Genomic DNA, 16,244 nt, shown 5'->3' on the forward strand with positions numbered 1-16,244 from the left:
GGCTTTAAAATAAAACTGGAGCTATATGGAAAAAGAAAGAGTGAGAGAGAAAGAGAGGGAGAAGGAGAGAGGGAAGGAGAAGAGATAGAGAAGGAGGGAGGGAGAAAAGGAGACTTTAAATTAGCTTAACAAGGTGTGGCTGGGAGTGGGCTTACGCCTGTAATCCCAGCACTTTGGGAGGCCGAGACAGGCAGATCACCTGAGGTCAGGAGTTTGAAACTAGCTTGGCCAACATGGTGAAACCTCGTCTCTACTAAAAATAAAAATTAGCCAGGCATGGTGGCACATGCCTGTAATCCCAGCTACTGGGGAGGCTGAGGCAGGATAATCACTTGAACCTCAGAGGCAGAGGCTGCAGTGAGCTGAAATCGTGCCACTGCACTCCAGCCTGTACGACAGAGCGAGACTCTGTCTCAAAAAAACAAAACAAAACAAAAAACAGGGTGCATGCTAAGACACCCCACTTCAAATAGTGTTTTTCGAGGTGTCTCAGCCAGTTCGGGCTACTATAACTGGCTGAGTATCATAGGCTGGGTGGCTTAAACAATTAAAATTTATTTATCACAGTTCTGGAGCCTGAGAAGTCCAAGATCAAAGTGCCTATGGATCCAGTGACTGCCATCTTTTCATTCTACGCTCACATGGTGGAGAGTAGAAGGAGAGGAAGCAAGCTCTTGTCACATGCATCCGTGTGACGAGACCACCAACAGGCTTTGTGTGAGCAACAAGGCTGTTTATTTCACCTGGGTGCAGGTGGGCTGAGTCCGAAAAAGGAGTCAGCAAAGGGTGGTGGGATTATCATTAGTTCTTACAGGTTTGGGATAGGCATACAAAGTACATTCTCAAGGGCAGTGAGAATATTACAAAGTAACTTCTTAAGGGCGGGCAAGAATATATCATATCAGTTAGGGTGGGGCAGGAACAAATCACAATGGTGGAATGTCATCAGTTAAGGCTATTTTCACTTATTTTGTGGATCTCCAGTTGCTTCAGGCCATCTGGATGTATACGTGCAGGTCACAGGGGATATGATAGCTTAGCTTGGGCTCAGAGGCCTGACAGCTCTCACATCTCTCTTCTTATAAGGGCACTGCCTTAGTCCCTTTGGGTTCCTATCACAAAATGCCTGAAACTGGGTAGCATATAAACAACAGAAATTTTCATCGCACACTTCTGGAGGCTGGGAAGTTAAAGATCAAGGCTCTGGCAGATTCGATGTCTCATGAAGGCTCATTTTCTGGTTCATAAATGATGACTTCTCACTGTGTCTTCACATGGTGAAAAGAGGGAGGCAGTTCTCTGGGTTCTCTTTTATAAGGGTACTAATCCCAATTATGAGAGTTAAGTCTCACAAAGACCCCACTTCTCAATATCATCCCCAAAGCCCCACCTCCCAATACCATCATCTTGAGGGCTGGCATTTCAACATATAAACTTGGAGGTTGGGGCGGGGGGCACAAATATTTAGACCATAGCAGGCACTAATCTCAACAATCAGGGCTCTACACTCATGACCTTATTACCTACTAAAGGTCCCACCTCCTAATATGAACATCTTAGGAGTTAGAATTTCAACATATGAATATTTGAGGGACAGAAACATTCAGGCCAAAGCACAGAGTCTTTTCCATGGAGCCTTACAAATCAGGGAAGGAGTCAAATACAGACTTCAGCCCCCAAATCCATATCTGCCCCTCAGTTTTACATCTTCAATATTTTTAGTTTCTGGATAAGATTTTTTCTTTTAAAAAATGCCTTAGATTAAAAATAAACATAAAAGAGTGAAACTACTACCATAAAGTATGTTATACCAGGAAATTCTTGAGAGAGATTTGCTGAAGACTGCTGATAGAAAAGGTCAGGATCACAGAAAGTGGACTATTCTCTGCCTTCTCTCAGCATCTAGGCTTCAGGTTGTAAAGAAGCTTGGGAAAGAGAGCAGAGCTAAAGCAAAGAAAACGAACATGTTCTTTAGGGAAATGTGTAACTGAACTTGGAGTTGAGGTGGTCTGGCTGATGAGCCAGGGCTGGAAGTAGCAACAAAGAAAAGCCCTCTTCCAAAGACCATTCAAACTTTTATTTGTGGAAGTGAGTGTGCTGTGCAGTGAGTTTACAACTTCAGAGGACACCGAGACAAGAACACAAAGGCATTCTTGGAAATAACTCAGAAAACAAGAGTTGAGAATATGTGGAATGTAGTGGGAATACAAAAGCCTTGTAGTTTTTAGTATTGGGAACAGTGGTGTGGCCTCCTTCCGGAGTGATATACATGCTTTCATCCACAGTTCCTGTCTCATAAGTCCCATAGCCTTTGTTATAATGTTGAGATGCCTTAGGCCTCAGAAACAGGCCTCAGAAGACAGGATCTCTCTCTCTCTGACCCTCCCCTGCCCTCCTTTTATGTGCCTGAGGCAGGACTATAATCTGATTTTGGGTCATAAGACCCTCATTCCAGAGAACCTTCTGCCCCATACCCTGGAAGAAGGATTGCTCCACAGACATGCCAAGAAGAATCTGGACAGGCCTTGCTGGGTTTTCCCACTCTGCCTGTTTGTACTAAATTATACCTTTTTGTCCAATCACATTTCTACATGATTGTCAATCATGCTTATCCAATGAAGTCTTCATAAAAGATCCAAGAAGACAGGGTTTGGGGGCTTCTGGATAGCTGAACACGTGGAGGTTTATAAGAAACCAAACAAGAATTTATCCATGTGCCGGGAGGGTGGTGCACCCCAACTCCACAAGGACAAAAGCCTCTGTGTCCAGGATCCTTCCAGACCTCACCCTTGCATCTCTTCATCTGGGTATTTATTTGTATCATTTAAAATATCTTTGTAATAAACTGGTAAATATAAGTTTCCCTGAGTTCTGTGAGCCACTCTAACAAACTAATTGAACCCCAAGAGACGGCTGTAGGAACCCCAGTGGAAGCTGATTGGTCAGAAATTCTGGAGCTTGGACTTGTGACTGGTGTCTGAACTGGGTGGGGGAAGTCTTGGGGACTGAGTCCTCAACCTAGGGATCCAAGGCTATCTCCAGGTAGTGTCAGAATTGAATTAGAGGAAACCCAGCTGGTGTCCTCTGCTTCATGTGTGGGGAAAAACCCACATACATTCGGTCACAGAAGTCTGTGTCAAGGCCAGGTGCAGTGGCTCACGCCTGTAATCCCAACACTTTGGGAGGCTGAGGTGGGCAGATCACTTGGGGTCAGGAGTTCAAGACCAGCCTGGGTAACATGGTGAAACCCTGTCTCTACTCCAAATACAAAAATTAGTTGGGCATAGTGGCGGGCCCCTGTAATCCCAGCTACTCGGGAGGCTGAGGCAGGAGAATCTCTTGAACCCAGGAAGTGGAGGTTGCAATGAGCCGAGATGGCACCATTGCCCTGGGCAACAAGAGTGAAATTCCATCTCCAAAAAAAAAAAAGAAGTATGTGTCAGTTGTTGTAGTGAGAGCAGAAAAAAAACACCCAGTGAGTGTTGTTTTTTCCACATTCCTACTGAGTATGACGAATGGTTGTTGATGGTTATCACTGGAGATTGAAAACTGGGATTCCTTTTTCACCAGGAATTGGTGCCTACCATGGCTGGGGATACACAGTGATGGATTTGTGACTTGCTCCTCTGAAAGCTGGCCCAAGGGTGTACAGCATATGAATGTGGGGGAGTTTACACTACACACGCTCTTGGCTGTAAGTAGTTGAGTTTCATTTTTTAAATTTATTACTAACTGCTTAACTTTAGTTGAAGCCTGAGAATCTTATCTACACTGATATAATTTATGCTGTTAGCATTTCACTTTATGCAGCTCTTAATCCACTCCCATGCCCCAACTTGATGCTTAATTTGGTGTATGTATTGATTTATGTTGTTTTCACAAGAATAATAAATAGAGCTGGCAGTCTGAAGAGAGGACAATAAAGTTGTAAATAAAGGAGGGGAGTAATGCCATTCAACCTTAACTTTATATATTGATATCATTCCACTTTTTCTGCTATATTATAACTGATATTATCAACATGTGTCTATTTTATTGATACTTTTTGCACTGATCTTGCCCTGATTTGGTCATTTTTGGTGAACAATTTTAGAAATAAGAGCATAACATAGAAAAAGGGACATCTGTCGTAGAGATACATTTCCTATAAAGGTGCATACTTATGTGCACATAAAATTATATATGAATGCAGAAAATGTCTACAATGAAAAATAAAAATGGTCCTGCCTATGGTAGAATTACTGCTGCAGGAAGTAGAGGGGAATTGGGGTGATATCTTTGGAAGCATAGGAAGGACCATCAAACAACTCAAAACCATGCCACATGAAAAATAGCTGAAAAAGTGTGATTTTTTCAACTTGGAGAAAATAGACCCACTGAACTTAATAGCTGTCTCCAAATATGTGAAGTCTGTCTCGCAGAAAGATCAGGCTTGTTAGGTAGGGCCCCAGGGGCAGATAATGAGGGATGCATCTTCCTGAAAGGTGGAGCAGAGTATCTGCAACACTCAAACCTCTTACTCTGGCTCTGAGAGGAAAAACACCACCCAGGGTGCAGCCCAGCCTTTGCCACTATATGCCTGCCAATGGGGAGGACACATCTACTCAGCCAACTGTGCCAGTGACCAGAGATAAACTCTGATGGGTTTGTGCTTTATTCTTCTAAAATTGGTGTCAGGGTGCACAGTAAATGAATTCTGGAGAACTAGGGGAAATTTGTAGGCAAAAGTAGAGACAAAGTATGGATCACTTTGGGAGGCCGAGGTGGGTGGATCACTTGAGGTTAGGAATTCGAGACCAGCCTGGTCAGCAAAGTGAAACCCCATCTCTACAAAAATACAAAAATTAGCTGGGCATCGTGGCAGGCACCTGTAATCCCAGCTACTCAGGAGGCTGAACCAGGAGAATCACTTGAACCCAGGAGGCAGAGGTTGCGGTGAGCCGAGATAGTGCCATTGCACTCCAGCCTGGGAGACAGAGCGAGACCCTGTCTCAAAAAAAAAAAAAAGTAGAGACAAAGTAGATACCAAGTGGTATCAGATTTTTTCTTTCTTTCTTTCTTTTTTTTTTTTTTTTTTTTTGAGACAGAGTTTCACTCTGTCGCCCAGGCTGGAGTGCAATGGCACGATCTCGGCTCACTGCAACCTCTGCCTCTTGGATTCAAGCAATTCTCTCCTGCCTCAGCCTCCCAAGTAGCTGGGATTACAGGTGCCCGCCACCATACCCAGCTAATTTTTATATTTTTAGTAGAGATGGGGTTTCACCATGTTGGCCAGGCTGGTCTTGAACTCCTGACCTCAAGTTATCTGCCTGGTATCAGATTTTTGCAGACTAAAAGATATCAGGTATCAGGTTTTAGCAAACCATAGAAATATTAATAATCCTAAAAAAAAGCCAAACACAGAAAGAAAGTACAGATTCTGCCCCTCTTTTGCCAGTGTAGCCATGGACATTCTAACAGCAGTTACATTGATCTGTTCTGCTATAGGCATGCTCCATGCATTTCCCTTGGGAAACTGAAGCAAACAGGATTGAATGCTTAGGGTTTGTTTGTTTGTTGGGGTAGGGGGGTGGGTGGAGTTGTTTTAAGGAACACTCCCAGCTCAGTGTCCATTTATCTATTCATTGAGGCCCTCACAACTTGTCAGTCAGGAAACTCAAATGGGTTAAAAAAATGAACTCTGGAGCCAAGGTGCTAGGGTTTAAATCCCACTTCTACCACTGAATGGCTTTTTTTATTGTTATTATCACTAGTCCCTCAAGGTCAAAGACAGAGTTAGATCACTACTTCCCTGTAAGAAAAATAAGCCTTGGCTGAGCGCAGTGGCTCACACCTGTAATCCCAGCACTTTGGGAGGCCGAGGTGGGTGGATCACCTGAAGTTAGGAATTCAAGACCAGCTTGGGCAACATGGTGAAATCCCGTCTCTACTAAAATTGCAAAAATTAGCTGGGTGTGGTGGCGCGTGCCTTTCATCCCAGCTACTTGGGAGCCTGAGGCATAAGAATCGCTTGAACCCCACAGGCAGAGGTTGTACTGAGCCGAGATCATGTCACTGGACTCCAGACTGGGTGACAGTGAGACTCTGTCCCATTCCCCCCACCTCCCCCAGAAAAGCAAGCAAGAAAGAAAAAGAAGCCTCTTAAGTAATACCCTCATCCAGCTATCCTAGTATCTGAGTGTGATTCTTCATAAATAAAGCTGTAGAAACACAAATGTCCAGAAGCAGGTTGATGATGTTTCCTAACCTCTTTTTCCTTTATGTCTTTAAACAAAACAAGAGTTTACAATAGATTTGCTACTTTATTCTGTCTATCTACTCAGACAGTAATAATAATTTTAACAAGCATTGATTCAAATATTAAATTACCCAATAGATCTATTTAGCCTGGGTATTTTGCAAGCACCTCAATTTCAACATCCCAGAAACTGAAGTCTCAAGCTTCTCTTTGCATTTCTAATATTTGTCAATATACTTAGACATTTCCAAAATCATTTTTGGTTTGGCAGTGCTACCCTGCTAAATTTTTCTCAAATCCATCTCTTCCTTGGACTCATTTCAGAACTGCCCTGAGTCAGGGCTTCTTGATATATTGCCTGGATTCCTGCTCTAATCTCTCAATGCTTCCTGTCTCTCTCTTCTCTTGTACGTAACACTTCCCTCATCTACACAACCATAAGGAAGAGCTCTCTAAAATGCAGATCTGATCTTACACTCCTATTTCCTGTAAAGTCTAAAGCCCTGGGCAAGGTTTTTATGGTTCTTCAAGGTTCCAATTTATCTTTCTAGTCCTGCTCACTCCCTGCTGTGCTTGTTCAGCCTTAAAGGCTATTAGCGGATTTCTCCCAACCACCTTCCCTGCCCTCAGCACATACAGAGTGCCAGGGCCCTTCTGGGCCTTTGCTCATGCTACTTGCTTTATCTGAGTGCTCTTCCTCCTTTCCCTGATCTGAAAACCTCTATTCAATCTTAAAGGCCCAGCTCAAATATTACTGTTGTTAAATTTCTTTGTGTTAGGATTTCTTCTATAGAATCCCTTAACAGTAGGCTTAGATAGAATTTTAGCATTTTAATAGCATTAAAGGTATAACTGGCTAAAAGGCAACAGATTAAAAACACACAAATAGTTTACTCTGACAATGAGATTAGGTGCTTTTTAAACTATATGATTTATAGTTTTATGCATTTTAACCTTCACAGCTAGCCCAATCCTAAGCACATAATAGATACTCAAAAAGTTTGTTGACTGAATAAATGAAATAAATCTTTTACCTCAAATATATTAATATTTTTACTTTTCATCAGCACAATCAAATAGAGATGTACTTTTTTGCCTTGTATTATCTGTTTACTAATTTCTAGCAATCTATTCATGCATGGGTAAATGTAACCCTAAAGAGAGAATTCTGCCTTCTTTTTAAAATGGGAATGGACTCAGTGAAAGGAAAGGGGTGAGGACCATCATTTATTCATTCATTTGATGCCTATTATCATGCACCTTTCTAGGCTCTGGAGATTTAGTGAAACAGACAACATTTCTACTCTCCAGGATCTTCTCTTCTATAAAGATAGGACAGAAGAGAAACAAGTAAACAGACAAATAAGTTAATTGTGTTTAGTGATAAGGACTAAGAGAACCATAAAATGGATTAATGTGGCACAACCTAATTAGAAATGGGGAATACATGAGATTGGGTGGTTACCTTGCCAATGAAGTGAGAGCTGCATGTTGAAAGGAGCCAGCCATGTAATAATCTGGGAATAGAGAGGACAGTTAGGGTAAAGCCTAAGGACAGGAGTGAGGAAAAGGCAGGAGGCAATGTGGCTGCTCATTATTAGCAAGGGGATCACCTGGTGTAGCAGATGCTGTACTACCTGCTTTCCACATTTCTACGTTTATGTCTGATTATATCTTCAGAAGGCTAGCCACACTTTATAGATGGAGGAACAGATCATCAGAGCAAGATAGCAGACTTTTCCAAGTCTTGTATCTTGGAAATGAAAGGTGTAATTATTCTAAATGAATTCTGACTGTCTCAGAAGTTTAGGATCAAACGTCAGGCTAAAGTAAAATGATTTTTGGTAGCATTACATCTTTATTGTCAATTGAAATGTCAACCTAAAGTAATCAAAAGGGTCAGCATTTATTTTTAAAAAGAATTCATTCCAGTCTAAATTTGCCTCTCTTGGACTTCTAGGGGTTTCTTTTTGTTACTTACAAGTTAGTTTGGGCTACAAAGACTTAATTTTAGTGTTTGAAATTTGATTTGGGGAAGTACAGCAAATATCAAAGGTTTAAAACACTTCATATCAAAACAGAATCACAGGTTATGGTAAAATAAGTCAATCATTTAGCCAAAGTGATCATGTAAAGGTTTCACAAAAAGCAAAAACTTTTAATCTTTGATAGAAAGGAGATCAAAGTTATTAAACAAAGTCCTAATAAACACAACATGAGACCAACAGAATCTGTCTCTTCCTTTGTCCAAATTTTTGCAGTTCATGCAAAAGGGAAGCACAATTTTTCTTACTATTTCTTGTTAATACTACACAAAAAGGAGGAAACCAAATTTTACTTTTGTATTAGTGTATTATCAATACTAAAGCCAATTTTAATAAAACCTTAAAAACAAATCCATCCAATCTCAACCAACTTTGACCATATAAGAGTTTCATAAACCTTTTATAACTTCTTAAAAAATTTTTTTCTATTTATTCCTTTCTCCAATATTTTAGGTCCTTTTAGTTTTATTTATATCATAGTCCTTTAATTTAAATAACCTCTTAAACTAGACAAATTAATTTTTTACTAAAAAACCACATTTTTATGTTTTTGTTTTTTCTAAAGATAAATCTTTTTTATATTTGCATCAAGACTATTTTTCCCGTATCTAGTATTTAATTACACATAAAATTAATTTAGCTCAAGCCAAGTCAAGCAAGTATCAAAAGTATAACAAAATGAACAGTTTTAGGACCTTAAAATATCTATTAGAAACAGTGTAACCCTGTCTGAGCAGTAGACCCTGGCAAAATGTATGAATTATATTTAATACTAACAATTCTGAAGACATTTACATGTTATTTTGGCAACAATTTTAAAACTAGTTCTACTTGCCAAAGAATACTAAAATCATGTGAACGAAAAGGCATTTGAGTTAGTTTCTATTTTTCTGATAAAATACTTAAGTACTTAATTTTCCTCTAAGCCAATTAATTAAAGTTCTTTCCCACATTTTGATAGTGAAATATCACATACTCATGACACATATAAATATATAGACATATAGGCACACAGACAGAAATAGATCTTATGCCTTTAGAATATTCTTCATTTACCAATTTTTAAATAGTTTTTCTCTCCCTTTAGACTATTGAGGCCTAAGCAATTGTTAGTTAGGCAATCCTCAATTTGCATGCCCAAAGACATGACTTTTAGGTGAACATTTACATCCCAAAGGCACAGAAATTAGATCTAAACGCCATTATTTGTTCAGACAAAAAAGGGAATAGGTAAAGATTCAATCAAGATAAAATGGTTGAGAAAAGTGTCTTAAGAATGGTAAATTATATAAACTTTAAGCCAATGTCTTCCTCACTGTAAAAGTTTCTAGTGGTTTAGGTACAGGAGGGAGATGCCCTTACAAATGGAGATTTTCTTTGTAAGTATAATTTTTTCTTTTATATAGAATTTCAAAATAGCCAGCTAAATCCCAGAAAGTCATATTTTGGAGACCAATCTACACTTAGGTGGTCTTTTCAACTTTGCTTGTTTTGTTTTTGTTGTTGTTGTTGTTGTTAGATTATTGACTTCAGGGTGTAGCCCTTTAATCGATAGGGCAAAGAAAGCATTTTCTGTATCTGTACTCAGTGTAGATAGCTCCGAAAAGAAACAAGAATACTTTGCCTGAAGTCCTATCTTTTATAAACACTTTATCCAGCTTTTTTTTTTCTAGTTTAAACCAAGAGTATTTTTTCACAAACCAATACATCTTAACAAAGTTTATGACTTAACTGATAATAAGCTAGGCATCTCCAAAGAGGTGCCAAGCAATCCTCACAAGATATAGGATCACCCCAAAGACAGCTCAAAGAAAGAAAAGTTTTGCTAGCTGCAAATGGAATACATGTCACATTTCTGTCTGGCTGTATTTTCTACGATCTCAGCTTGTCAGCTAAGTGCCTATGCATGAAGGTCCAAAAGCCTTGTATGCCCCACAGATGGAGAGACCGGATGTGAAAATCTGTCCATGGAAGAGGAAAAAAAATCAATAATAAATGGTTACTCCAAAAGATCAAGAGTCATATGAATAATTTAAAACAAATAAGACTGGTTCCCTGATAGGGAATTCATCCTGGGTCACAGTCATAGCAGCACAGAATCTTAGCCATAGACTGCAGTTTGGAATGATTTTCTTTAAGTCCTACAGGGGATCCAAAGAGGGAACTTTGAGATGTAAAGGATTTTAACTTGTTTCAGCTGTAATGTTGCTTAGCTAATCCCTTGAATGTTAACATTTTACAGACATGTTAAGCTTTACATCTTTAAGAGCAGGGTATTTAAAGGGTATCATCTGATATTAGGTCAATAAATCATAAGTGTCATTTATTAATTCCAGTTTAGAAAAAAAATTGTTGGATCTGTATTTTATAATTTCAGTAGTTTCATTTTCATTCTGTAGCAACTCTGTTCCCTCTGGTCCAAATTTAAATACATTTTCCCCTTTTGAGAGAAAGAAAATTGTGCAATATGGAATTCCAAAAATTTGCCTAAGAGATGTGTGGGAGTTGAGGGAACAAGCAGAAAGAGGTAAGTTCAGATCATAGAGGAAGAAGAAGGAGTAGTTGGAAATAAAAGGGAGAAAACTTTGAATGTCTTTTTAAATTTAGAAATAGTTTTAGGCAATCTCTTGTAAAGAAATGACTTTATCAGAATGTCTTTTAGAAGCTTCTAAGTACCATTGAAAAATAGCTCTCTAGGTTGTTTTGTTTTTATTTTATAGCCAGCTTTTGCTTTTTGTTTGTTTTGTATTGTTTTGTTTTTGAGACAGAGTTTCGCTCTTGTCGCCCAGGCTGAAGTGCAGTGGCAAGATCTTGGCTCACTGCAACCTCTGCCTCCCGGGTTCAAGTGATTCTCCTGCCTCAGCCTCCCAAGTAGCTGGGATTACAGGTGCCCACCACCACACCCGGCTACTTTTTTGTATTTTTAGTAGAGACGGGATTTTGCCATGTTTGGCAGGCCGGTCTCGAATTCCTGACCTCAGATCATCCGTCCGCTTTGGCCTCCCAAAGTGCTGGGATAACAGGCATGAGCCATCGCACCCGGCCACCAGCTTTTGTTTTTAATTAAACATGCAGATAAACTAATGTAGCTATTTCCAAGGTACCCCATTTTCACTATTTTAGTTTGGGGTCTTCACAGCTTAAGTAAAACCATTTTTCTAGATATTGATGTGAGGTAACACCATAAATATTATACATAAATCTCACTGTAGTTTTTAAAGATAGATCTCTCCTTTAGAGGTACGATAGTCCATAATTTAGATTTTCCTTTTGAATGACCAAAAAGATCTTGTAGGAGAAATTTTGTTCATTTAAGGAGAAAGATTAGATTTGTCAATTGAATCAAGCTTCAGAATCTGACCAGTTTTAAAGATTACAAATTTTCCCTTAAGCCACAATTATTTCACTTTTTGTTTTTAAAAAGAAGTTGTTTCTCCTTGACCAAATTTCATACAACAGAAAATGTTGCAAACTCTAACAAGAAAGACATTCAAAACCTCAGTAAAAAGTAAAAATCCCAAATCTGCAGTCAGCAAAATCTCTAGAAAATAACCAATGAAACTCCTATCTTAAAAGCAGAGCTTCAATTCCAACTCCATTGACTGTGAATTAGGTTGCTTGAATACAGTCTGAATCTCAAATCAAAATCAGGGAGATTTGAAATCTGAAAGGAGCCTCAACAGATGCCCACTGGCTCTGGCAAGGTCAGATGAACAAAAACCATTCGTGCTGGGATCAAGTCTCTAATTGTGGGCAAAATGACAGGGATCACAGGAGGCTTGCTTCTGGTCCCCCTGGGTCACCAAAATGTCAACCTAAAATAATCAAAAGGGTCAGAATCTAGTTTAAAGAGAGTTTATTCAAACACAAAGTTCGAGGATAGACTATACAAGAAAAAGAGATTACAAAAAATGGAAGCCAATGTTTTGAAGCACAGAAGTTTGGAATCACTTATATAGACAAAGCTAGAGAAGTTTAACAGAATTTCAACCTCTTTCTATGTAAGGCTTAATGCATAGTTACAATGATCTAATTAGCTGAGGTGGTCTTTTTCTTTTGGGAAAGGCATATTTAACATTCCATACTAAAGATGTAACTGTCATGGAATCTTGTGTGGCATCTGGTCTGAGTTAGGTACAGGGCAATAAAGGAGAAAGTTAATCTATAAAAAAGACCTGTGATTGGAAGAGGGGAGATCTGGTTTCTGTCTCTTTTAGTCATTTACAGAACAAGAACATTAAAGAAGAGAGTTAAGCTATAACCTAAGAAGCAGAATTGCAAACATGCTATGTGACTCAGGCTCCAGGGCTTAACTTCCTCTTTGGCACCATAAATTTAGAGTGTCCTGAAATTTTGTTCTATTTCATAATAAACTGCTGTGAACATGATAAGAAGAAAATACAGTGAAATCCCTTAATATATTGCTGACGTTAGAATAGACAATATTGCCCACCTTCAAGTTTAAATCTATTATATTAAGCTTTTCTTTATTTGCAAGTTATATGTTTCAAAAACTGTTTTCTATTCATTCAAAACTATGGTGGAAACTATGTAACAAGCTTCATTATAATGGAATTTTAATAGATCAAGTGAAAATGCCTATTGTTATAAATACTAATAAAGTTAAAACTCATGGTTAGATGAGAATATCAACTACTTGAATTTTTTACAGTTTAAAGATAAAATAAGAGAGACTTCAATGTTAAAAGGCAACATTTGTTGGCTAAACATTGCTTCCTATTTGATGTTAAAACAGTCTATCAGTTCTTCAAGGCTGAACTAGCAGATTAAACAAATAAGAAAATGCATCCACCAAGCAATTGAGGGCATGTCAAAAGAGCAGGCAGTTTGTAGTGAATACAATGAACAGATATACCTATGTTTTATTAAAAAAAAATGTAGTCCATCAGGGGTCAGTAACCACCAAAAGCCTAATTAAAATGTTGATAAAAATCCCATATAACTTTCTTCCCTTGGACCAGAATAAACTTGAGGCAATATAGAATTCAATTACACCTACACTGGGAGACATTCCTTAAACCTAAGATACCAACAGATTCAAAATTAGCGTATTATCTCAATTAATATATGCAGCACACTAGGTCAATTGCCTTAAGAAATTAGGCCACAGATTTTTAAAATGTACACAGGGAAAAAGACTACCTCCAAAGTCATTTCTAAGAAGCATGCCTTCCTCCTCAACTTAACAGTAAGATGTGAGTTTTGAAGACCTGATCTGTATACAAGATTAAAATAGAAATCCTTTACCTATATAGCAAGTACCAGAGCACTGTAGCCACAGTTCACAAAGAGGATTTGGGTGGGTGTGTTCTCTGACCATCAAAGAAACTTACCACCAGTTCATTTCTGAGTCCCAGAATGTGCTTTGGTTGTTTTCTGAGATTTATTTTCCCTCCAAGTATGCTTTTTCTGCCCAAGTGGAGATTCCCTGGCAATAATAAATAATTTCCTTTATACCTAAAAACCTCATTAGAAATACAGACCATAGTTATCAACTTGATTTTAGGAGCAAGAGGTTAGAAGTGATGTTTTCCTGGCCTTGTGCAGTCTGTCTAACTTTAGAAGAGGTACAGAGCCTTATTAACAAGGAAGAAAACAATTTACAGGGTTTTTTGAACATGGCTTCAATATCTGTGATTGATTAGATTTCAGAAGGTTAAGAGGGAATATGATGCAATTGAGATTTTTATAAAGCACAAATGAAGGAAAACTGGGTGTTTCATTTTGAAATAAACCCCCTAGGGTCTTAATAAAATATCTAGCAGTCATTACTCGATATACTCACTGCCTCTTCTGCCCCTTCCTAACAAAACTGGAAGAAGTTTAAAGAACTTTAACATTTTACCCCATGGGTCCATGTCTGTTAGTCAGTTTGGAAATAAAGCATAAAAAATAATGAAAGAAAGTTTGAATTTACATCCAGGATAACAAACAAGTTTCATATTTCCTGACAAATTCAATCAATTAGTGGTGGTGCCTGGAGTTCTGTGTTGAGCAGAATGGCGAAGTACATTGGTTCAGTGAGAAAGCCACAATGGATTATTTATGTTTACCATCGACTCAGGAAGGGAATGTACCAGCACTCATACTATGCACTTGCTAAATCTGATAAAGACATTCAAAGAAATAATGGAGATGGAATGTTTATTTTAGAAATCACGATGGAGAAAAAATAAAACTTTCATACCAAAAAGGGAGAAAAGGAAAAATACGTGTGTGTGTGTTTTCCATGTAATGCTTCTAGAGTAAAGCCATTCATATATTCCTTAAGTACATATTTATTTAGTACTTATTTAATATTAATAATACTATAATGTCTATAATATAAATATAAAATATTTCATATTTAATGTACTTACCTATAAAGCACATTAAATATAAAATGTAAATTATATATTATATATAAATAATAAAATAATAAATATGTATTAAGTGCATCATTCCAAGGTGATAGAGATATGATAGGAAACAAATTTCCCACCCTATTATCATCCATGTGATGAAAAATCAAGAAAGCAATTGAACAAGTTAAGATATTCTGGGAGTTATAATGGCTGAGAATTTTTTTAAAGCAAAGAAAGTGAACAGAGATTATGGAGGGAGTGATTTCATATGAAATGGTCAGGGAAGGCTTCTTTAAGAAGGTGGCATTTGAAGAGAACCTGAAAGAAGTTAGTGGAAGGGCTGTGTAGATATATGGGGGGCAGGTACCCAGTTCAGGAAGGAGTGATTTGGGAGTATCCTTGACATGTTTAAGTTCAGCGTAGCTGGCCTGTAGAGAACATTAGGGAAAGTGGAAGAGATAAGGTGAGAGAAGTGGAGGGGAGAGGCTGCACCGGGGAGCAGATGATGAGGGACCTAGCTTCATTGGCCATTGTAAGAGAGGTGTCTCTTATTTTGAAACAGAAAGTTGCCAGTGGAGAGTTCTGAGCAGAGCAATGACATGGATAACTTGGCTGCTGTTGAGAAAAACTGTGGCATAAAAGGGAAAGGGTCAAAAATAAAAGAAAATACACCACTCAGGAGGGTGCTGCAATAATCCAGGCAAAAATGATGGTACCTTGAACCAGTATAGTTGTGGTGGAGGTGATGAGAAGGGATCATATTCAGAATATTTTGAAGGTAAAGCAGATGGAATTTACTAATGCATTGGAGGTGAGATATGAGAGAAAGAGAAGATTCCAGGAAGACTCCAATATTTATGGCCTGTGCAACTAGTAAAATAGATATGTCATATGTTGTGATAAGCAGAATTGTGAGAGCAGCATTTTCAGTGAAATCACTACTTAATCTTTGAATCTGTTAGATTCTTTTTAATGTTTTAAATCAACTTCGTTAGATATAATTCACAATCAATAAAATACACCAATTTAAAATGTTCAGTTTGAGAAGTTTTGACAGTTTTACGCTTTTATGTAACCATCACTGGAATCAAGATATAGAGTTTTTTTTATTAACCCCAACATTTGTCTTGAGTCCTGTCCCAGTCAATTACCCAGCCATCACAGGCTCCAGGCAACAACTGATCTGATTTTTGTCCCTATACCTTTAATTGGTCTCTTCTAGCATTTCATATACATGTGATCATACAGTATGTAATTCTTTGGGTTGACTTCTTTCACTCAGAGTAATATTTTCAAGATTTTATATATATTATGCATATCAGTAGTTCATTTCTTTTATTATTTTTTATTATTGAGTTGTAAGAGTTCTTTCTATATCCTGATATTACTCCCTTGTCAAATAATGTGTAACAAATATTTTCTCCTAGTCTGTGGCTTGTCTTTTCTTTTGAATAGTAGAACTTTTAATTTTGTTAAAGTTTGATTAATCAAATTTCTTCTATAGTTTGTGTATTTAATTTTCAAAAATTTTTTTACCTATCCTAAGGTTGTAAAACCTTTCTCCTATGCCTTTTTCTAGAAGATTTACAGTTTTAG

At 38.0% G+C, this 16,244-nt stretch overlaps 1 protein-coding gene across 1 annotated transcript in view, besides 1 other annotated feature; it reads left to right on the forward strand.

Moving 5' to 3' along the window:
- MME (membrane metalloendopeptidase) overlaps positions 3,572-16,244 on the forward strand; it is a 159,528-nt gene continuing 146,855 nt past the window's right edge. The window contains exon 1 of the mRNA NM_001354642.2: positions 3,572-3,694. The gene's annotated coding sequence lies outside the window, so the exon portion shown is untranslated. The remainder of the gene's footprint in view (positions 3,695-16,244) is intronic.
- Positions 6,710-7,004: a silencer, noted in NCBI's record as "tiled region #12262; HepG2 Repressive non-DNase unmatched - State 24:Quies". NCBI's record gives its function as "represses a minimal TATA promoter and a strong SV40 promoter by Sharpr-MPRA in HepG2 cells {active_cell/tissue: HepG2}" and the evidence as "EXISTENCE:reporter gene assay evidence [ECO:0000049][PMID:27701403]".

This window comes from Homo sapiens, chromosome 3 (genome assembly GCF_000001405.40).
Source record: "Homo sapiens chromosome 3, GRCh38.p14 Primary Assembly".
Lineage (NCBI taxonomy): Eukaryota > Metazoa > Chordata > Mammalia > Primates > Hominidae > Homo > Homo sapiens.